Source organism: Homo sapiens, chromosome 1, assembly GCF_000001405.40.
Source record: "Homo sapiens chromosome 1, GRCh38.p14 Primary Assembly".
NCBI classification, from domain to species: Eukaryota; Metazoa; Chordata; class Mammalia; order Primates; family Hominidae; genus Homo; species Homo sapiens.
This window is the reverse complement of record NC_000001.11, coordinates 10,837,595-10,859,915: the sequence shown is the minus strand read 5'-3', so window position 1 is coordinate 10,859,915 and position 22,321 is coordinate 10,837,595. Positions and strand designations below refer to the sequence as shown.

The following is a 22,321-nucleotide window of genomic DNA, read 5'->3' as shown; positions in this document are numbered from 1 at the left end:
CCCCAGAGTGCAGGCTGCTCCCCTCTTTTCTGGGACCAGAGATGGCTCTCAAAGAGAAGGAGAACTGGGGCACATGGATGTTGCACTGGGCACTCAAATCCTGGTCCTGCCTCCTACAACCTGTGTAGCATCAAACAAGCTACTGAACCTCTCTGAGCCTCAGTTTCCTCATCTTTAAAAGTTTTTGTTTTTTTTTTGACAAGGTCTTGCTCTGTTGCCCGGGCTGGAGTGCAGTGGCGTGATCTCCACTCACTGCAACCTCCCCGTCCTGGGCTCAAGCAATCGTCCCACCTCAGCCTCCAAGTAGCTAAGAGCACAGAGGAGCACCATCATGTCTTTTTTTTTTTTTTTGAAATTTTTGTAGAGACAGGGTTTCACCATGTTGCCCATGCTAGTCTCGAACTCCTGGACTCAAGCGATTCACCCACCTCAGTCTCTCAAAGTGCTGGGATCACAGGCATGAGCCACTGTGCCTGGCCAAAAGTCTTTTTTCTTTTTTTTTTTTTTTTTTGAGACAAAGTCTTGCTCTGTCACCCAGGCTGGAGTGCAATGGTACGATCTTGGCCCACTGCAACCTCCACCTCACGGGTTCAAGCAGTTCTCCTGCCTCAGCCTCCCAAGTAGCTGGGATTACAGGCGCCCGACACCACTCCCAGTTAGCTTTTGTATTTTTAGTGGAGATGGGGTTTCACCGTGTTGGTCAGGCTGGTCTCGAACTCCTGACCTCAGGTGATCCAACCACCTCAACCTCCCAAAGTGCTGGGATTACAGGCGTGAACCACCATGCCTGGGCAAAAGTCTTTTTTTACTCGTACCTGCCTCTAGGTTGTTCTACGCTTTAAAAGAGATAAAACACAGAAGCAAGTTGCAGAGCACTTAGCATAGATAGGTCTTCAACGAGTTAAGTGATGGCTGAAGTTTTTATGACTATTGAACTAAGGTGGGTCTGCCCACAATCTGTGATGAGCTGGGGTGTGGGACTCCTGACTTCCTACCTGGAAGGGAGGTGCTTCCAAGATGGAGAGAGGGTCTTGAGGCACCAATGTTCCTTCCTCGGAGGTCTTCTGCCACCTCCCATCAGAGGAGGCTCCTTCTCCCTTTCCCTCTCCCTTCGCCCTGCAACATGCTCCTGCTTCCTTCACTAATTCCAGCTTGTGATGAGATATTTGTTTTCTTGCTTATTGTCTGCCCCCTCTCCAGACTGTGGGTTTATCATAGTGCCTGGAAAAGGCCTGGCACATAGTAGGTGCTCAATACATATTTTCCCACTGAAGGAGTGATTGATTGACATCCATGCAGAAAAGTGGGGGGTGAGGGCATGTGGATCAGAATTCAGGCAGGGGTGGTCTCCTGGACCCATGTTCCCTCTGTCTTGGACCTCAGGAATGACACCTGTCACTCACCTGCCCTGCCCTCCCTAGGGCCCCATGCCCGTTGTGTCACTGGCATGGACCTTTCCTACCTCCCTGTGGATTCAGGGCTGATGGGGAGCCAGGACGCCCTCTGGGCATGGGTGTGGAAAGGACGGTGCTTTCCAGGCCGCTGTCCCCAGTGTCCCCTCCCAGGCACTTCCCTCTTGGTCTCCACCAGGCCACGCAAGGCACCTGAGGCCCACCACCGCCTGGCAGCTAAAGGGTCCCTGGGGCAGCTTGGCTGTTCCTTCTAAGGGTCTTATCAGGGTTACTTCCCTTCCCCTTGACCAGGGAGCCAGAACCCAGCGTTTTAAGCAGGTTTTGAGAGGGTCGCGTCCTCCTGGAGAGTGAATGATAGTGGCCAAGGAAGTGGCCGATGAAGAAACTTTGGTGATGCCTCCTCCTGCGGCCCTGGTCCCACTGCTGTGGCCCACTGGGAACCAGGTCACCCAGATCTCAAATGCGTGGCCTCACTGGCCCCAGTGCCAAGGAGAGCCAAGAGGTTGGCAGCCGGCTCTGGCTCATGCCAGAAAGTCTCTGAGCCGGTCCAGCCTGTGTCCCCGGGTGTGGGTCCTTCATGGCCCCAGGGAGCTGCCCGCTCCACCCACCAGGCCCACAGTGAGGGCCAGGCTGAAGCCAGTAGCTCCTCTCAGAAATTCTGAGCAGTGTGGCTGAGGGAGAAAATAGATCCGATGACGCTGATGCCAGAGGATGGGACTTCCAGTTACGGAGGCCATGTGCTGGGGGTGGGGGCGGGGGGGATGTCTGTGACAGAGACAGAGCCGGAGAGAGAGGAAGAGAGTCAGGGAGGCGAGAGACAGAAAGAGGTAGACACCAAGGCAGGAAGCAGATGGAGAGAAAGAGAGAGAGACAAAAAGAGGTAGCAATTTATCTAACAAAAGATGGAGAGACAGAGACAGAGAGCAAGAGAAAGGAGAGAACGGGAGGGAGAGAGAGATGATGAGAGAGTCTCTCAGAGACAGAGACACACAGAGGGATACTGAAGCCAAGAAGTGGGGTGCCTGGCCAGGGGCCTCTGCAGAACGCAGAGGGGGGGACCAGAACGCAGGAGGTGGAGGCAGGTGGAGCCCGGCGTGTCCGTGCGTGTCGGCTCTGGGACCGTCGGTGCACAAGACACACTGCTAGGCTCAGGGTCATTCGGTGAATTCGATGGAAAATTGGAAAGTTGGGGGCAGGCGCTTTCCATGAGGAACACGAGTGGTCTCCTCATGTGACTACGCTCGTGTGTCTGTGATCACGGGTGTGGCGTGTGGAAGAGGGCAGGGCCCAGTTTCCCCCTCAGCTGTCAGGACTCTGCGTGCAGACAGCCCCGGCTAGTGGGCTGCAGGGCCGGGGTGGTGTCTGGTGGGGGGCGGCCAGACACACGCCCTCAGCAGGGGAGGCCAGGGAGCTGTCAGCAGCCCAGGGCCAGGCAGGCAGCGAAAGTGAGCCATGGCAGGGCCACTTCTCCTTGCCGCTGTTCACTTGACACTCTCTAACCCAGAAGCCACCTGTTCAGCCATCAGTCACCCAAGGAAAATACAGCTTTCCTGAAACTGGGAATCGGACAGAGAGTCCCAGGAGGGGGTGAGCAGGGGGAAATGCCCTCTCTCTGACACTTCCACGGGGCTCTGGGCCCACTCCCAGGCAGGCTGGAGGCCCAAGTCTGGCCTTCAAGAGCCATAAAAAAGTACACTCCCAATTAGGCACCATCCTGGTACATTTGGGGGGATTTGGGTGGCAGTGAGGGCCCCTGCAGAAATGCCCACCTTGGGGGTGGTGAAGAACCAGCTCTTGCTGGGGTGGCACAGCGAGGACTGTGCCTTGGAGGAGCTGCTGTGTGAACCACATGCCCCTGGGTGAGGACGGGGCAAGGGCTGGCGTGGGGTGGGGGTGGCACTTGAGCTGGGCCGGTGTTTTGGGGGCAGGCAGGGTGGCTGGGGCCTGGGAGGGCCCTGGCTTGGAGGCAGGTCTGGGGCTCTGCCCAGCAGCAGCGCCCTGGCCAACGGAGGCCTGGCTGTGCCCCGCCATGCCCCGCCTCAGATGGCTTGTTAATTTCATCGTTTAGCCCGTTTATGGTGTTCCCAGTTGCTGTTGCTTCTATAAACAAGCATTTTGGTGACCTTCCCCTCCGGACATCAGCTCCGCAAGAATCCCGAGCCCTGAACATTTATAAATAAGCCTTCTCTCAAGTTCCACAACAGGTGTGACCTCCCCCCCGCCCCCCTCCCCTGTCCTGTCCGAAAACTGAACAGTTTCAACAAGCAAAGGGAAGCCGCCCAGGCTGTCTTAAAGGGGTCGAGTGGAGGCCACTGTGCACTAGGCAGGGAGGGGCCTGACCCGCTTCCCCCTCCCTCGCCCAGGCTGGGGGTCCCAGGGGAGAGTGCCAGCCTGGTGGGCAGTTGACCCCTGACCCCACTTCCCCCTAACACCCCACCCCAGAGGCTGTGGACTGAGAGGACTCCTTGGCTGACAGAGTGTATCTGAGTCAGACCTCCCCTCCCAAGGGAAGCCTTATCAAGCCCCCAACCCCATTCCCCTCCACAGTTAGCTTCCCACTTCTCGCCGTCCTTGGCTCCACCCTGGTGAGTATAGAGACTTTCTGTCTCTTCTTCTCTGCCAAAAGCTCTCTGATTCATGATTTGCAACATTTCATACACATTTATTTAACAAGCATTCATTTGTTCAACAAATATTTTTTGAGCTCCTCCTCTGAGCCAGGCACTGTGCCAGGGATAGAAAGCTGAAGGAAACCCAGCCCTGCCCGCAAGGAGCTCACCCTCTAGTGGGGCAGACAGACAAGTGACAAGACAAGTGAACCGCAGGTGCCTTGGCTCCTGAGAAAGGGCTTTCAACCCAGACTTGGAGTCGAAACCCTTCCTGGGAGGGCTGACTCTTGAGTCCACCATGGAGGTTATGAGGGGAAGCACATTCCAGGCCAAGGAAACTGACAGGGCAGGGCACAGAGGCAAACACGGCCCATGGGGAATTGCAGTCATCTGGGCCAGAGCTCAGGGGTCTCAGCAGGAGTGGTAGGGAAGGAAAGACTTTAGGATCCCATCATCCCCGTGCCTATCGCCAGCAGCAGTGCTGGCCTTCGATTCAGAAACCCCAGAGAGCAGGGATCTTCCACATGACAACTGGTCCCCAGGGGAAAATAAACCTATAAGGTCCTTTCGTACTGGTCATGTAGGAGGACAAGATGGTGTTGTTGAAGGATGATGAAGGTGGTGATGGTGATGACTGAGAAAGATGAGGAGGGAGAATAGGAGGGTGATGACGATGATGGTGGATGATGATGGAATTGAAGATGGTAGTTGTCTCGGGTGAGCAGTGACTATCTGAGACCGGCATCACGAGGGCAGTAAGAAGACTTTACCAAGACAACTGTAGGTAAAGAAAGGCAGACATATTAGAGAAAGTATGAAAAGACGCTGCAAGAGTGCAATGGGCAGACCAGGAAGAGAGGATGATATGGTTAGGCTTTGTGTCCCCACCCAAATCTCATTTTGAATTGTAATCCCCAGGTGTTGAGGGAGATACCTGGTGGGAGGTGACTGGATCATGGGGCGGTTTCCCCCATGCTATTCTCATCATAGTGAGTGAGTTCTCCAAGATCTTGTGATTTTAGAAGTATTTGGAAGTTCCTCCTTCATTCACTTGGCTCTCTCCTGCTGCCTTGTGAAGAAGGTGCCTGCTTCCCCTTCTACCATGATTGTAAGTTTCCTAGGCCTCCTCAGCCATGTGGAACTGTGAGTCAATTACATCTCTTTCTCTTTCTTTTTTTTTCTTTTTGAGACAGAGTCTCGCTCTGTCACCCAGGCTGGAGTGCAGTGGTGCAATCTCAGCTCACTGCAACCTCCACCTCCCGGGTTCAAGTGATTCTCCTGCCTCAGCCTCTTGAGTAGCTGGGACTACAGGCACGTGTCACCACGCCTGGCTAATTTTCTATATTTTTAGTAGAGACGGGGTTTCACCGTGTTAGCCAGGATGATGTCGATCTCCTGACCTCATGATCCACCCGCCTCGGCCTCCCAAAGTGCTGGGTTTACAGGCATGAGCCACTGCGCCTGGCACACCTCTTTCCTTTATAAATTACCCAGTCTTGGGTATTTCTTTATAGCAGTTTGAGAACAGACTAATACAGAGGAGTTGACTGCAAGGAGACAAAGGCTTGCTGGGGATTTTACAGGATGGTGCTTGTACTGTGTGCTGAAGAGGGCTTTGTGCAGTACCGATAATGCCAAGGTTGCTGTGAGCTAACTTGCAGGTGTCTGGTGAGAAGTTGGGCTCAGGAGGGCTACATGTCCTGGACCATGAAGAAAGGCAGACTTAGAGCTTATCTGCTTTTTCTTTCTGCTTTCCCCTGCTCCTGCCAGCCTGACTCCTTTTCCCTAATTAGGACTCAACAGTGGTAGCAGATGGTGATGTGGATGTTGATCAGGATAGTAGTAGTGGTGATTTTGGTGGTGACGGTGGTAGTCATTGTAGTGGTTGTGATGTGATATGCTGATAGTGGTAGTGGTTATGATGACGGTGGCAATGGTGGTAATGATGGTGATAACAATAGTGGTAGTGATAGATGGTGATGATTATGGTGGTAATGATGGCAGTGATAATGATGGTGACAGTCATCCTGGTGATGGTAGTGATGGTGGTGGTGATGATGGTGGTGATAGTGGTAGTGATGATGGTGTTGATGAGGGTGGTGATGGTGGTGGTGATGGTGATGATCATAGTGGGGGTGCTGGTGCCTGTGCTGAGGCTAGTGATTGTGGGGATGGTAATGATGGTGATCAGGGCCATGGTGATGATGGTGGTGGTGGTGACAGTGGTGATGATAGTGATGATTGTCATAGTAATGATGATAGTGATGGCAATGGTAGTAGTGATGGTAATGATGGCAGTAGTGATGGTAGCAATGGTTGTGGTGGTGGTGACGGTGGTGATGATAGTGATGGTTGTCATAGTAATGGTGATGGTGATGGCAGTGGTAGTAGTGATGGTAATGATGGCAGTAGTGATGGTAGCAATGGTTGTGGTGGTGGTAATCATGGTGGTGATTGTGATGTTGGTGATCATGGTGGTGGTTGCAATGCTGCTCATGGTGGTGCCTGTGGTGTGGAGTGAGGCTATCGATGGTGGTGATGGTGCTGATGGTCGTGATGGTCATCATGGTGGTGATCATGATGTTGTTGTTTGGTGGTGACAGGTGTGATGGTGTTGGTGGTACTGATGGTAGTGATGGTGGTGATCATGGTGGTAGTTGTGATGGTGGTAGTGGTAGCGCCTGTTGTGTGGAATAAGGCTATCGATGGTGATGATGATAGTGGTGGTCATCAGGGTGGTGATCATGGTCTGGTGATGATGGTGATGGTGATGGCGGTAGTAATGGTGGCAGTGGTAGAGATCATGGTCATGGTGATGACGGTGCTCATGGTGGTAGTGCTAGTACCAGTGGAGGAGGCTAGTGAGGGTGGTATTGGTAGTGGTGGTGCTCATGGTGCTCTTGGTGAGCAAGGTGGTGATGGTGATCCTGATGATGTTTGTCATGGTGACAGGTGAGTGCAACTAAAAGGAGTATTTCCCCCAGTGTAGTTCAAGGCAGGAAGGTGGGAGATACTAATCCTGATCATAAGGGAACGTCAAGATCTCAATTCAACTCTGAATGCCCAGGGTGACAATCTAGGTGAGAAGGGAAATAGGGAAGAAGCAAAAAGGCCTTGATCCTGAAGGATCAAGTGCTGGATAAAGTAGGGACCAGTTAGGTCATGGGGCTCAGATCCAAGTCTGTCCACGTGTCTTGGGTGAGTCGTCTTTTGCCTAGTAGCTGGCATGGGCGTCAGGGTAGGCCTCATGACCTAGAGGCTTCCCACAGGGCCTGGACTCTCCAGGTGGACGTCAGCCACAGCAGGATGGGTCCTGGGGTTGGTCTTTGGGTCTGAGAGAGGGAAATGGAGCCCAAGGACCCCACCCATCTTAATAAGGACCTGAAGAATAATTCCTCCCGTGCATTCTGTGATTCAGTTTCAAAATAACTTTCCCCTCCTCTCTTAAAACACAGCAAGCCTTTGACAGGAGGTCTGTTATTCACTCTACCAATGACAAACTGACTTCATCTGGGATCCCCTTTCTCCTTTTCTTACGTTTAGTTACTCTGTTTGTCCTTCCGGCCAGCTCAGTGGCTTTCTCCCAGAAGCTTCCCTGAACAGCCTCAGATGAGGTTACCCCACCTCCTCTGGGAGCCCTGGCATCTGCGATGGCCACGCTGTGTTGCAGGAATCTGTCATCTGCCTCACTCCACAGCTAGACCGTGCCTGTAAAGGGGGCTGGCGAGGGTGTGATGGTTGGAGTCCAAGCCCGAAGCTGGAGTTCTGCTTTGCCGCAAGCCCTGTGCTCACTTCAGCCAGGGACCTGCCTCTTACCTCTAGCCTCAGGTGCCTGGCACAGACCTGGCTCAGGGGGTGCTCTGAAATTGCCACATTTGTAGATTATTGAGGTCTCACTAGCTGACTCACAGCCCCTCTGTCGACCCTGGGCCACCCAGAGTCGGTGCCCCCGCTCAACTCGCGAGTGGGCACAGGCTGGACCTCAGGAGAGGAGATAATATGAGCAGGCCAGGCTCAGCTGCCAGTTTAGGGCCGGCTAGGGGAGGGCTTGGGGCTGGGGATGTAACAGCCCCGTGGCTCCTATGGGCTGAGCTCCTTTAACTGTTCTGACTGTCTGTCCCTAGAGACTGGCTAATGGCTGACGGGGCACCACGCATTTAACGGCATCAGACCCAAACCAGCCTTGCCTGCCCTTGGCTTGTTTCGCTCCTCACCCCAGGGGCTGGGGGCTCCCCTGAAATCTGCATGGAAGGGACAGCCAAGCTCTGGGGAACTTGGGCTGGGTTTTGGTCAACAGACCCAGGCAGCGGGTGAGGAAGGGCTCCTGGCTCCGTGGGTGGTGGGGGTCGGAGCAGCAAGGTCACTGGCCACAATCCCTTAGACCCTCGCCCCGCCTTTCGGGTCCTGGGTAATCAGATTAGCGTTCTCCCTGCTGGCCTACCTCTGGGGCTTGTCTGTGAGTGAGGACGATGGCAAAGCACTTTATACCCTTTGGAAGGAAGTCGGTGGTAACCCAAGCTTAGAGTATCAATACGATTGGTAACAACAATAAAATTGAGCCCTGACATTTGGCACTGTCCTGCCGAGTCACAAAGAACGAAGCTCTCTCACACGCATTGCTGGGCTGTGACGGGGCCTCGGAACAAGCCCAAGGGTAGAAGGGCAGTAATAACGGTAAGCCCAGGGGCCTGGTGCTGACCGTTATTACTCATGCCTGTAATCCCACCACATGGGAGGCCGAGGCAGACAGATCACTTGAGGTCAGGAGTTTGAGGCCAGCCTGGCCAACATGGTGAAACCCTGTCTGTACTAAAAATACAGAAATTAGCTGGGCATAGTGGTGCGCACCTGTAATCCCAGCTACTCAGAAGCAGAGGCAGGAGAATCACTTGAACCTGGAAGGTGGAGGTTGCAGTGAGCCAAGATTGTACCACTGCACTCCAGCCTGGGTGACAGATCAAGACTCTGTCTCAAAAAAGAAAAAAACCCAAACGAGTAAGTGCAGTTGTGTGTCTGCCTGTGCCCTGCTGTGTGCCTGGCACTGGCTAAGTGCTTTATCCTGGCAGAGCCCCGACATCCTCACCTTGGCAAGCCTGGTAGCTCTGAAGAGGTGTCCCCGCCACCTCCCAGCTTCAGCTCATCAGAACTAACTGCTGCACCCTCGTGCCCCCAGAGAGCCCACCGCAAGGAGGAGGGACCGTCTCCCCATTGTCCTGGCTTGGAAACTGAGGCTCAGAGAGGAGCTGTGTGCAGTAGGGAAGCCAGCCCAAAGTTGAGGCTCTGCTTCGCCTCAAACCCTCTGTGTGACCCTCAGCAAGCCCCTCCCCCATGTGGTCCTCAACTCTACCCCCATCTTCGTAATAGTGGGGAAGGGGGGGTTGCTGGACTGAACGATTGCCAAGCGGGCTTGGCTTCATCCATTCAACAGTATTCCCTGAGCACCTATAACCTGTACTGTTCCAGGGGCTGGAGGTGTGGGGACAAATGGGACCCACATTGGCACCGCCTTCCTTCGTGGAGTTATAGTCCTCGTGGAAGTTACAGACAGGAGACTAGGAGGAAGGGCAACCAGGCAGTGATAAGCCCCAGAGGGCAGTAAGACCAGGTGCTGTGACAGTGACCTGGGTTTCCATGGGGGATGGAGATGGGGAAGGTGACATTAGGCTGAATGACAAGAGAGAGGAGCGGCCCTGTCTGCGGGCAGCATCAGCCTCTGATTCTGACAATCTGGGCTCACTTGGCCAGGAGGCAGCGATGGTAAGACTCAAACCTGGGTTTCCCCACTCCCAGCCCTTTCCAGGGGGCTAGGGTTGGCTGAGTGACAGCAGGTCAGCATGCTAGTTAAGGCCAAGGCTTGGTGACTCGGGTGTCCCCTCCCATCCCTGTGCTCCCTGGGGTGTCCTGCTGGGGCAATGGGAGGGCCTGCCTTGTTTGTTTCCCTTCTTTTAGGGATGGCCGCCCAGGCAAAGGGCGTGACCTGCCCAGGGCTTCAGTGGAGGCAGTGATGCAGTCAGAACTGGACTCCTGCAAAAGTGCTCCTTCCACTGTCCACTTCCCTATGGTGAAAGGTGGGGAGGGCCCTGTGCCCTGGGCTCTGGGAGTCCCAGGCTTTTGGGGAAGGAGGTGATGGATGTGAGGTGAGAGCGCAGGCCTTTGGCTTCACAGCTCCAACTCAGGGGCCACTCCAGGGCAGCCCTTCAGCCTCTTCTTGGTAAAATGTTACAGAGCATCAGGTGGAGTCAGGCACACTCCATAAGCCATTTCACAAACCCTGCAGCCCCCGGGGCAGGGGAGACTCCATTTCACCAGTGAGGAAACAGGCTCAGAGAGGTAACGGAGCTCTCCTGGGTGCCACAGCGCAAAGGCGGCTGAGCTGGGATTCTAACCCTGCTCTGCCAGGCATCCCCTGCCCAGGGATTCATTTGGTCAGTCCAGTAATACAAATATTTTTTCTTACCAAACACCCGCTGTGAGCCATGGGGTTTACAAGCACGTCCTGAAACACAGCCCAGCTCAGCCCGCCAGCAGGCCCCTCACCCCCATTGCACAGATGCAATTACCGGGGCCAGGCAGTGTTTCAGGGGCCGAGGACACAGACATAGTCCTTGTTCTCGGGGAGCTCTGCCTGGTCCGGGTGGCAGACACGAGCCCAATAGCTGATCAGCCTCGTATGTGCTGTAAGCATGGAGCTCGTCTTCATGCCTCCTTCCGATTTTGACACAAAAGTTACCTTCTCAGCAAGATGTTCCCTGGATACCTTGTCTAAGGTCTTCCCCTTTCCTTACTTTCCTTTTTCCCCCTCCTTGACATCTTTTATTATCTAACATACCATATACTTAACTTCTTTCTTTTCTTTTCTTTTTCTTTTTGTTTTCTTTTTTTTTTAAGACGCAGTCTCGCTCTGTCACCCAGGTTGGAGTGCAGTGGCACGATCTCGGCTCGCTACAATCTCCGCCTCCCGGGTTCAAGTGATCTTCCTGCCTCAGCCTCCCAAGTAGCTGGAACTATAGGCATGCACCACCACGCCCAGCTGATTTTTGTATTTTTTGTAGCAATGGGGTTTTTGCCGTGTTGCCCAGGCTTGTCTCAAACTCCTGAGCTCAAGTGATCCGCCCATCTCAGCCTCCCGAAACGCTGGGATTACAGGCATGCACCACCGTGCCTGGCCATACTTAACTTATTTATCTTCATTATTTTCTGTCCCTTCCACTAGATCAGAGGTTGGCAAACCACAGCCGGCCACATCTGGGCCACCGCCTGTGTGCATGTGGCTGGAGAGCTCAGAATGGTTTTTACATTTTTAAGTAGTTATAAAATCATCAAAAGAAGAATAATACTTTGTGATATGTGAAAATGATATGAAATCCAAATTCCAATATCCATAAATAAAGTTTTATTGGAACACAGCCATGCTCATTCATTTATGTGCTGCCTATGGCCGCTTTTGTACTGCAATGGTGGAGTCAGGCAGCCACGACAGAGACTGTATGTGGCGCTCCCGTTGCTTTGCACACTACAAATCACAGTCATGTGGTTTTAACTCACTTTTACCTCTTGGCCCACAAAGACTAAATATTTACCATCTGGCTTTTTTTTTTTTCTGGACAGAGTCTCACTCTTATCCAGGCTAGAGGGCGGTGGTAGGGTCATGGCTCACTGCAACCTCTGCCTCCTGAGTTTAAGCAATTCTCCTGCCTCAGCCTCCCGAGTAGTTGGGATTACAGGCGCATGACACCACGCCTAGCTAATATTTTGTATTTTTAAGTAGAGACAGGGTTTCACCATGTTGGCCAGGGTGGTCTCAAACTCCTGACCTCAGGTGATCTGCCCACCTCGGCCTCCCAAAGTGCTGGGATTACAGGCACGAGCCACCATGCTCAGCCTTTTGGCCCATCTGGCCTTTTGTAGAAGTCTGTGGTTGCCCGCATTAGAATGTGCCTGACCCCTGCATTAGAACACAAGCTTCATAGGCAGGGGCTTTTTGTTAGTTGATTTACTATTGTGTCCTGGCGTCTAGAACAGTGTTTGGACTTCTGCTTCTGGACATGATGGTGTAACAGGGCCAGATTTACTTTCTCACATTAAAGTACCAGAAAACTCTGCCTGGTAGGGTCGCATATGTCTGTAGTCCTAGCTACCTGGGAGGCTGAGGTGGGAGGATCACTTGAACCCAGGAGTTTGAGTCCAGCCTGGGCAATATAGCAAAACCTCAATTCTAAAAAATAAGGACCAGAAAACTGGACAAAAATCTATGACTCAGTGGTTTTCAGACATTGGACAATAAGCAGCACAGGATGGTGATTGCTAAGAAAAGGAAAACAAAGAAGGCCGGGCACGGTGGCTCACGCCTGGAATCCCAGCACTTTGGGAGGCCGAGGCGGGTGGACCACTTGAGCCCAGGAGTTTGAGACCAGCCTGGGCAACATGAGGAAACCCCATCTCTACTAAAAATACAAAAATTAGCCTGGTGTGGTGGCGCATGCCTGCAATCCCAGCTACTCAGGAGGCTGAGGCAAGAGAAGCGCTTGAACCTGGGAGGTGGAGGCTGCGGTGAGCACTCCAAACCTGACGGAGAGAGACCTTGTCTCAAAAAAAAAAAAAAAAAAAAAAGAATGAAAAAAGAAAACAAAGACGAGTCCTGCAACTGTCTCAGCTAACCTCCTGGAGAATTACCAGGCCAGTAAACAGAAAGGCAAAATAGAGTCATTGAGTTGAGGAGATGGAATTTGGGGTTCTGGGATGTAGAATGACTAGATTATGTGCAGCAAATACCAGAGAGGAAGGAGGTGCACAGAGAGACGGTGCAGCGATCTGAGGAGGGGTTCCCTCTCTCTGTGGCCAGAGTGGAGAGAGCTGTACTCCGTGGGGCATCAGATGGAGACCCCAGAAGGGCATTGCCTTGGTAGTGGGGCTGAGTTCACCCTAGACTAAAGCTGCTCTGAACTAATGCTAACAAAACTTAAAAGCAAGCCTTGACAGGAGCAAACCAATTCCAAATAACTTAGCTGTGTTCCAGAACAAAGCCAGCAATATTTAAAGGAATCCAACAAAATCCAGCCCCCAACCATGTAATATTTTAAATGCTGGTTGAACAATAAGTAAATAGATGGTGGTTGCTGGGAGCCAGATTTCTTGTGGCTGGAGAGGAAGTTTACAGAAAAACAAGGAGGGAAGCCTGGAATGGACTGTGGGTTAGAGCTGGAGATACCAGTGCAAACCCATGCTTAGCTCAATGTACATACAGATGGATGGATACAGAAAGAAGTACAGGCATGTGCGGATACAGGGTTATGTCTTCTGAGAGGGCCTAGCAGCAGTGGCAACCTAGTAGCAGCAAGCACTCCCAGCCAGATCCTGGCTTCTAATACCATTCTCCACTAAAAGGAGAAATGGTGGATTCTAGGACCTGAGCTGGAAAAATACAAGATGAGGCAGAGCATCTTGTATACCAAAAAGAGCAGGCCAGGCGCGGTGGCTCATACCTGTAATCCCAGAGGCAGGCAGATCATCTGAGCTCAGGAGTTGGAGACCAGCCTAGGCAACATGGTGAAATCCTGTCTCTACCAAACAAACAAACAAAAAATTAAGGTGTAGTGGTGGTCCCAGCTACTTGGGAGACTGAGGTGGGGGATCACTTGGGCCCCAGAGGTTAAGGTTCCAGTGAGCAGTGACTGTGCCACTGCATGCTGGCCTGGGCCACAGAGTGAGACCCTGTCTCAAAAACAAAAACAAACAAAGAAAAAAGAGATTCTATGGCCAAGCATTGTGGCTCACGTCTGTAATCCCAGCACTTTGGAAGGCTGAGGTGGGCAAATCTCTTGAGCTCAGGAGTTCAAGACCAGCCTGGGCAACATGGCAAAACCCTGTCTCTACAAAAAATACAAAAATTAGTCAGCCACAGTGGCATGCACTTGTAGTCCCAGCTACTCTGGAGGCTGAGGGGGGAGGATTACTTGAGCCCAGGAGGTCGAGGCTGCATTGAGCAGTGATAATGCCACTGCACTCCAGCCTGGGTGACAGAGTGAGACCCTGTCAAAAGAAGAAAAGAAAAGAAAAAAGAGAAAAGAAGGAAGGAAAAGAAAGGGCTCCAAAAACAGGAGGGGACATGTCAAAGGGACACAGAAACCAGCCTGAAGACCTCTCGATGGCCAAAGCTGGAAGAATTTGGACAATAAAATAAATAATGTAGTATTGGGTTATAACCCCAAAGTACAAAATAAATGTACATGAGTCCATACTGATGTAAATACACAATTGAATAAATAAATACAAGAGGGAGAAGAGATAAATCTTTCTCATGAAGAATTCTCAATAATATGTGTAGATTCTCTTCCGACAGGAAGTGGAGCTTAGTTTCCATCCCCTGGAGTGTGAGGTTCACTTTGTGACTTGCTTTCAAAGAAGAGGACAGGGAAAGGAAAAAATAGTACCTTTGCTACTACTGGTGGAGAAACCTGGTCAATAGCACCTTAATCAAGTGATGAGGGTTGGCCTCATTGGTGTTATCCTAATATGCTGTGATGAGAAGGGCATTTCACTTTGGTGGTGATATTCTTTCCATAAACCCATAATTCCAATCTACTCATGAGAAAAACAACAGGCAAACCCAGATCGGGGACATTCTATAGAATAATTGGCCAATACACCTCAAGATCGTCAAGGTCATGCAAAACAAGAAGAGACTGATCGTGACCAGCCTGGGCAACATAGAGAGACCTGGTCTCTACAAAATAACAAACAAGAAATTAGCTGGGCATGGTGGCATGCACCTGTAGTCCCCATTAATAGGGAGGCTGAGGTGGGAGGTTGAGGCTGCAGTGAGCTGTGATCATGCCACTGCACTCCAGCCTGAATGACAGAGTGAGATTCAGTTTCAAAAAAAAAAAAGACTGAGAAATTGTCATAGACCAGAGGGAGTCATGACAATTAAATGCAATATAAAATTCTGGATTAGATACTGGACTAGTAAGAGGACATTAATGGGAAAACTGGTGAATCCCAAATAAACTTTGGAGTTTACTTAACGTACTGGGCTAATGTCAGTTACATAATTTTTTGTTTCTTTGTTGTTTTTAGTTGAGGCAAGGTCTTGCTCTGTTGCCTAGGCTGGAGTGCAGTGGCACAATCAGAGCTCAGATCATAGCTCACTGTAACCTCGAGCTCCCGGGCTCATAGTTTTGACAAATATATCAAAGCAATGTAAGATGTTAATGATGGGGGAACTGGATGTGAAGTGTATGGGAACTCTCTGAACTATCTTTGCAACTTTTCTATAAATCTGAAACTATTCCAAAATTAAAAGTGTATTTTAGCGGGGTGTAGTGGTTCACGCCTGTAACACAGCACTTTGGGAGGCCGAGGCAGGCAAGTCACTTGAGCTCAAGAATTCCAGACCAGCTTGGGCAACATGGTGAAACTCTGACTCTACCAAAAATACAAAAATTAACCAGGTGTGGTGGTGTGCACCTGCAGTCCCAACTGCTTGAGGAGCTGAGGGGATAGGATCACTTGAGCCAGATAAATGGAGGCTGCACTGAGCTGTGTTTGTACCACTGCACTCCAGCCTGGATGACAAAGCAAGACCCTGTCTCAAAAAACATATTTGTATTTTAAAAATGTCCAGCATCCAATAAAAATTACCAGTCAAGCAAAGAAAGGGGGAAATATGACCCATAACCAGGAAAAAAAACAAATCAATAGAAATAGACCCAGAAATGTCACAGATGGTAGAGTTAGCAGACATTTAGAACAACTACCACTAATACACTCTTCATGTTCAAGAAGATAGAGGAAAGCACGAACATGATGTGAGAAATAAAAATACTAAAAAGACTCAAAAACTTCTAATGTTGAAAAATGCAACCACCATCCAAAATGAAAAATACAATGGATGGAATTAACAGCAAGTTAGACATTGTAGAAGAAAATATTAGTGACCTCAAAGTCATAGCAATAGAAACTATCTAAAGTGAAATGCAGAGGGGAAAAAAAAATCAGAGCCTCAGTGACCTGTGAGACAACGTAAGAGGTCTAACATATGTGTAATTGGAGGTCCAGAAGAAGAGGATGGAGATGGGAAAGATATTTAAGAAATGATGGCTAAAGCTTTTCCAAACTTGATGAAAATGATAAACCCACCGATTCAAGAAGCCCCAATGAACTCCACAGCAGAAGGAACCTGAAGAAAACCATATTCAGGCACATCATGGTCAAATTACTGAAAACCAGTGATGAAAGAATAGCATCTGGCACAAATTTTCAGTAAATATTTGTTGAATAGTAAAATGAATGAAATCCACAAGTGTTTAGAATGTGAAATTTAAACTATGGAGAACAATAAAACAGGATAAAGCCTGGGCATAGTACCTCACATCTGTAATCCCAGCACGTTGGGAGGCCAAAGTGGGAGGATCACTCAGGTCCAGGAGTTTGAGACCAGCCCAGGTAACAGAGTGAGACCTCGTCTCTATAAAAAAAAATTTTAATAACTAGCTGGGCATGGTGGTGCATGCCTGTAGTTCCAGCTACTCAGGAGGCTGAGGCGGGAGGATCCCTTGAGCCCAAGAGGCTAAGACTGCAGTGAGCTATGATTTCACCATTACACTCCTGCCTGGGTGACAGAGTGCAACCCTGTCTCAATAAATAAATAAATAAATAAATAAATAAATAAATAAATAAATACAAAGGGTAAAGGGAACAGGGATGGTAGAATGGTGGGCTCCAGAGGAAGGGCTTTCACTGTTTCCACAAGGTGGTTCCAAGAATGTGGCATTTGAGCAGACCTTGAGGGAGGCGAGGGAACCAGCTGCATGGGGACCTGGACAAGGGATTCCAGGCAGAGGGAGCAGCCTGGGGCTCCTAGGGCCCCATAAGCAGTGACCGGTATGAGCCACCATGATGAGCCACTGGCTCGCCAGTCTCTGCCTGCGGAACTGGGCCCCAGGAGCCCAGAAACAAGTGCTCAGCTTTGATTTCTGCCCTGAAAAGAGACCATGCCTGCTGTGTTCAAGGAGGAGCAGAGGCCAGCCAGGGTCACGGGGGTGAGCTGGGAGGAGGGTAGAGACGAGGTCAGTGAGGTTGGGCTTTGTGGTCAATGCAAGGACTTTGACTTCTACAATGAGTGACACAGAAGTTATTGGAGGGCCCTGAGAAGAGAAGCAGGATCATCTGAGTTAGGTTCTAGAGGGTCCACTCTGGACTGTAGGGGGTAAGATTGGAAGTAGGGAGACATAAGGAGGCCCCTGCAATCACTCAAAGGAGAAATGATGGAGACTCAGACGGGGCCGCATCAGTGGGGAGGATGAGCAGTGGTTGCATCCTGGGTACCTTCTGAAAGGAGCGACACCAGGATTTGCCTACATTTGGATGTAGGGTAGAGAGAAAGGGAAGTAAAAGGAGAGTCTAAAGGTTTTGACCTGAGCAGTTAGAGGAATTGAGCTGCACTTATAAGAAGGGCAGGCTTGGCCAGGCACTGTGGCTCACGCCTGTAATCCCAGCAGTTTGGGAGGCCAAGGAGGGCAGATCACTTGAGGTCAGGAGTTCAAACCAGCCTGGCCAACATGGCAAAACCCCATTTCTACTAAAAATACAAAAATTACCTGGGTGTGGTGGCAGGTGCCTGTAATCCCAGCTACTTGGGAGGCTGAGGCAGGAGAAGCGCTTGAACCCGGGAGGCGGAGATTGCAGTGAGCCAAGATTGCACCACTGCACTCCAGCCTGGGCAACAGAGCGAGACTCCATCTCAAAAAAAAAGAAAAAGGGCAGGCTTGGTGATGAGCAGGTGTAGGGTGGGGTGGGGCAGGGCTGAGGGGCATCAAATACACAGCCGTCTCCTCCTGCCACAGTGGGCCACCCCACTCTTTCTCAATGATCTTAGATGCACCCCGAGAATTCTCCACACAGTGCATATAGTAGGTCCATCATAGTTCCATTAGGAGGCAGCAAGGTGAGAGTTTGAGCTTGGGAGTGCTGATTCCCTGGACTCACATCCTGGCCCCACCACTAAGTAGCTTATGTCTTCAGGCAAGTGGCGTCATTACTGGGGGCCTCTGTTTCTCATTTGTTGAATGTTTCTGCGTTTCCTAGCTCCCTACTGTATTAAATGGGGTCATACTCGGCATTTATCTCATTGGGGTTTTGTGAAGACTTAGATGAAGAAGATGTATGGAAAGGCCCACACACGGTGCCTGAAACACAGGAAGCGTCCTATAAACGGTGACCGGTACACTCCACCCCAGGTCCTACTGGTTCACCCGTCTTTGTCTGAGGAAGAGAACTTCATGGCCCCAGGAACCCAGAAACAAGAGCTCAGGTTTGATTTCTGCCCTGTGAATGCCTAACCAGAGTTCTGGAGAATGCTGCATGGACCCAGATGAAAACGCTCTCATTTTTGGACAGAGTGGGCAGTCGCTGAAATATAAGAAGTCCCTGTTGAAAAACGTCCCTGCTGTGAGCACTGCTGGGTGGATTAGCTGGCATTCCTTCTCCTCCATTGAGCGGAGTCGCAAGCTAATAAATATTTCAGAATTGGCTGTATTCAATCCAGCCCTTGTCCCGTTTGACGTCTGTTCTCTCAGCTTTCAGGAGACAGGTGCAGAAGGATGAAAAGGGATTTAATTACTAAACATCCCCAACTCCCGATATGCAAACACATGCTGTACTGTACACACACCTACTGCGCACAGTCACGCACACCCCCTGCACTCACACACGTGTGCAGATACAGCCCGGGGCACACATGTACCCACGGGACCCTCTGGACACCCACTCTACTCTAGTAGTGACCTCTCTACTGTATCGGGGAGATCTCCCATGCATGCCTGCACACAGCTTGCACAGGAGTCCCACAGGAGTCCCATGGGCAAACGATACATGGGAACACACATGTGCCCCTGTGTATGCAATAGCCTTGGTTGTTAACATGAGCATGTTTACAGTCAATGTGCGTGGAAGGTACATGTACATGTGCATTTATTTTATTTATTTATTTATTTTTTGAGACAGAGTCTCGCTCTGTCGCCCAGGCTGGAGTGCAGTGGCGTGATCTCGGCTCACTGCAAGCTCCACCTCCTGGGTTCATGCCATTCTCCTGCCTCAGCCTCCCAAGTAGCTGGGGCTACAGGTGCCCACCACCAGGCCTGGCTAATTTTTTTTTGTATTTTTAGTAGAGATGGGATTTCACCATGTTAGCCAGGATGGTTTCAATCTCCTGACCTTGCGATTCGCCCACCTCGGCCTCCCAAAGTGCTGGGATTACAGGTGTGAGCCACCATGCCCGGCCTACATGTGCATTTATAACATGTGCACACACAGATATGCATACACTCAATAATACAGTCACACAGATGTTCACGTCTCCACATACATGTGTGTAATGTGTTTCTGAAGAGAGGACATTTCAAAAGCCCTATTGTTGTCAAGCCATGCTGTTCACTCTAGGGGGAGGTTACGTAATTTAGCAAAAAGGCAAATGGAAAGGGGCCATAGAGGCCTTTCACACTGAAAACTTCGATTTTCCCTGACACATGAGTGAGCGCACACACAGCACACAGATGCACACCTGTGCACACAGACGTACAGATCCACATACATCTGTGTCAAGATGCACATCTTCTCCCCTGTATTCAAGACTGTCGGGTCCACCCACTGGAGCACGCGCATTTTTGAACAGGCATGCTTGTGCACGCAGGCCACGCACACACACTCAGCCCTCTGCTGGGACTAGCAGCACTTTCCTCCTTTTTGAGAACTCCTCAGCCTCTTGCTGCCTGCCCTCTGGGTGGCTGTGGAAACAGAGTTTCCACAAATGCACAGCCAGGCGCCTGGTCCCCAGGTGGAGTGGGAAGGCAGGAGGTGAAGCTGGCAGCATCTGATCGGCAGCCTCTCAGATTCCCCAACATCCACCCCCAGGGCTGGCCACACTGGCCCAGGGGACCAGGTGCCATCTCAGCAGTGCTGAGGACCCTATCACTGAGACCCCACCTGAAGATCTGAGCAGACTGGGCAGCCGACGCTCATTTTGCCCCATCCACGCTTTGCTCATCTATTGACGAAAGAGCTGGCTGAGCACTTTCTGTGTTAGGCGAGGCCTGGGGACTGTTACCTGCTCTGTGCCACTGAGCAATCCCTACGGGCCTGATTCTCAGCGAGCACCCTGTCCCACCCAGACCAGACCTGTGGATTAGCCTCAGGCCTCAGGGACAAGCCTCAGCTCTCAGCCAAGCAGTGCCCAACTGCACTTTCCCCACCTCCACTCCCACCCCACAGGGCCATTGCAAGCAGACAGGGTTGGCAGGAATTGGGGACTTTCAAATAACCAATCAGTGGGACCTAAGGAAATATATGCAAATGAAAATGCAAATCACCACTCAGTCTTTTTGCATCTGCTGCCAGCCGGACCACCTGCCCTAGGTGAGCACTTCCTTCCTTTTGACAGGGAGGATGCGAGCTCCCGTCCAGCAGGAAGCGGGCTGGAGGTCTGAGGTTCTTGCAGTGCTGGGCTGGGGCCATCCACCATCCCCCCAGTCCTCTCTGCACTGCCAGACCCAGCAGCCTCCGTGCTTGGGAGTCAGGGGTCCCCTTCCCCTACCCTGGCCTCAGTTGGCCCTGTCCACACTCACACTTACACTCAGTCACACTCTTGCACACTCATTTTCAGTCCAAAACACACTTACCCATGCACAAATACGCACAAACCTATTCACACCGCACACACCTGCACGCACCTGCACACTCCTTCATGCAGTCATTTTCATTACTGACCCACACATGTGTGCACAGACACCTGCCACATTCAGCTTTGCACACATGCACCGTTACACACGCAGTCACATATACACATCCACATTCTCGTTTTCTACATTCGTATGCACTTACACCTTTGCATGCTGGCTCACACACATGAATCACTTACAAGGGTTAACATACACCCACACGCATGCCTGCCCTTGCTTGGCCTTGACCGTGTGGGAGCCTGTGGACGTGCGGCTGTCTGGGCCAAGGGACCAGGATCCTGAAGGGGTGCAGGGGCAGGGCCATGGAGCGCCCCAACTGGAAAGCACACTTCCTGGAGGCTGGTGCACTTCCTGAGGCACTTCCAAGGGGCCAGTGCCCAGGGCCCAGCCAGGCCCCCTGTGGGCTTCCCTGAAGGATGGGGACGCCCTACCACAAACGCCCTCTGCAGCCTCTGGGCCAGGCAGGCGGCTGCTCCCAGGGTAATGCCTCCCTCAGGAAGCGGTAATTGAGGGGTAGAGAATTAGAAAATCAACACCGCCAGGAAGTGGGGATGTGCCCGTGCTGCCTTTGTTCCTAGAAGAGCAAGTGGGGGACCGGAGGGAAGGAACCCAGCCAAGCTCAGGAGTGACTGGAAGGGGGAGCCAGGTCCCCTCATCCCTCATCTGCCGCCTTTTGGTGCCGCCAACAGGAGTAAGGCGGGCACTGTCAGGCCCTGAACCCACTGGTGGGGGTCCCTTGGGGGGCCAGCGGTGCCTGGGAGGGACCTGGGAGTGGCCTCAGTGCCCCTGAGCCACATCACTGATTTCCCTTGGCCTTCCCTCCCACCACTGTGCACCAGAGGCTGCTAAGAGCCCAGGAAGGAGGATGACCTGAGTGCAAATCCTGGCTCTTTTTCTCACTAGCAGTGTGAGCTTAGGTGCATCCCCTAAACGCTTCAAGCCTCAGCTGCCTCCCTGCAACCGTTCCTGCAGGCGAGATGCTCCTTCTTAGCCCATTGAGCACCCACAACAGTGTTTGTCTCTAGCTCCGACCCTGTGCCCGGGCTAGGCTGGGTCCTGGGGCATAGTCCCATCCCAACAACCCCATGAAGCCAGGGCTCTTGCTATTATTCTTTCCATTTTATAGATGAGGAAACCGAGGCCTGGCGAAGTCATATGAATGAATGGCTGGGGTCAGACACTAGTGTGAGGCAGAGCCTGGGTTTGAACCCAGATCTCTGTAACGCCAAGGCCCGTCCAAGGTCCATGAGTCCACCTCCTTCCAGCTGCTACCCCCGTCCTGGTCTAGGGAAGAGCCCACAGGCTTCTTCCTCTTCTTCTTCTTTGTTTTGTTTTGTTTTGTTTGAGACAGGGTCTCACTCTGTTGCCCAGGCTGAAGTGCAGTGGTGCAGTCATAGCTCACTGCAGCCTCCACTATCTGGGCTCAAGTGATCCTACTGCCTCAGCCTCCCAAAGTGCTGGGATTACAGGCGTGAGCCACCAGGCTCAGCCCCCACAGGCTTCTTGACATCTATTCACCTCCAGAAGCAGGACAGTAGCAGTGGAGCTTCAGAACTAAGCAGCTGCC

The 22,321-nt window shown here is 51.6% G+C and overlaps 2 annotated features.

The window, feature by feature from the left end:
* Positions 19,480-19,980: an enhancer, noted in NCBI's record as "H3K4me1 hESC enhancer chr1:10899993-10900493 (GRCh37/hg19 assembly coordinates)". NCBI's record gives its function as "activates a minimal SCP1, AML or CMV promoter by ChIP-STARR-seq in primed H9 embryonic stem cells {active_cell/tissue: H9 hESC(primed)}" and the evidence as "EXISTENCE:reporter gene assay evidence [ECO:0000049][PMID:30033119]".
* Positions 21,163-21,770: an enhancer, noted in NCBI's record as "H3K27ac-H3K4me1 hESC enhancer chr1:10898203-10898810 (GRCh37/hg19 assembly coordinates)". NCBI's record gives its function as "activates a minimal SCP1, AML or CMV promoter by ChIP-STARR-seq in naive H9 embryonic stem cells {active_cell/tissue: H9 hESC(naive)}" and the evidence as "EXISTENCE:reporter gene assay evidence [ECO:0000049][PMID:30033119]".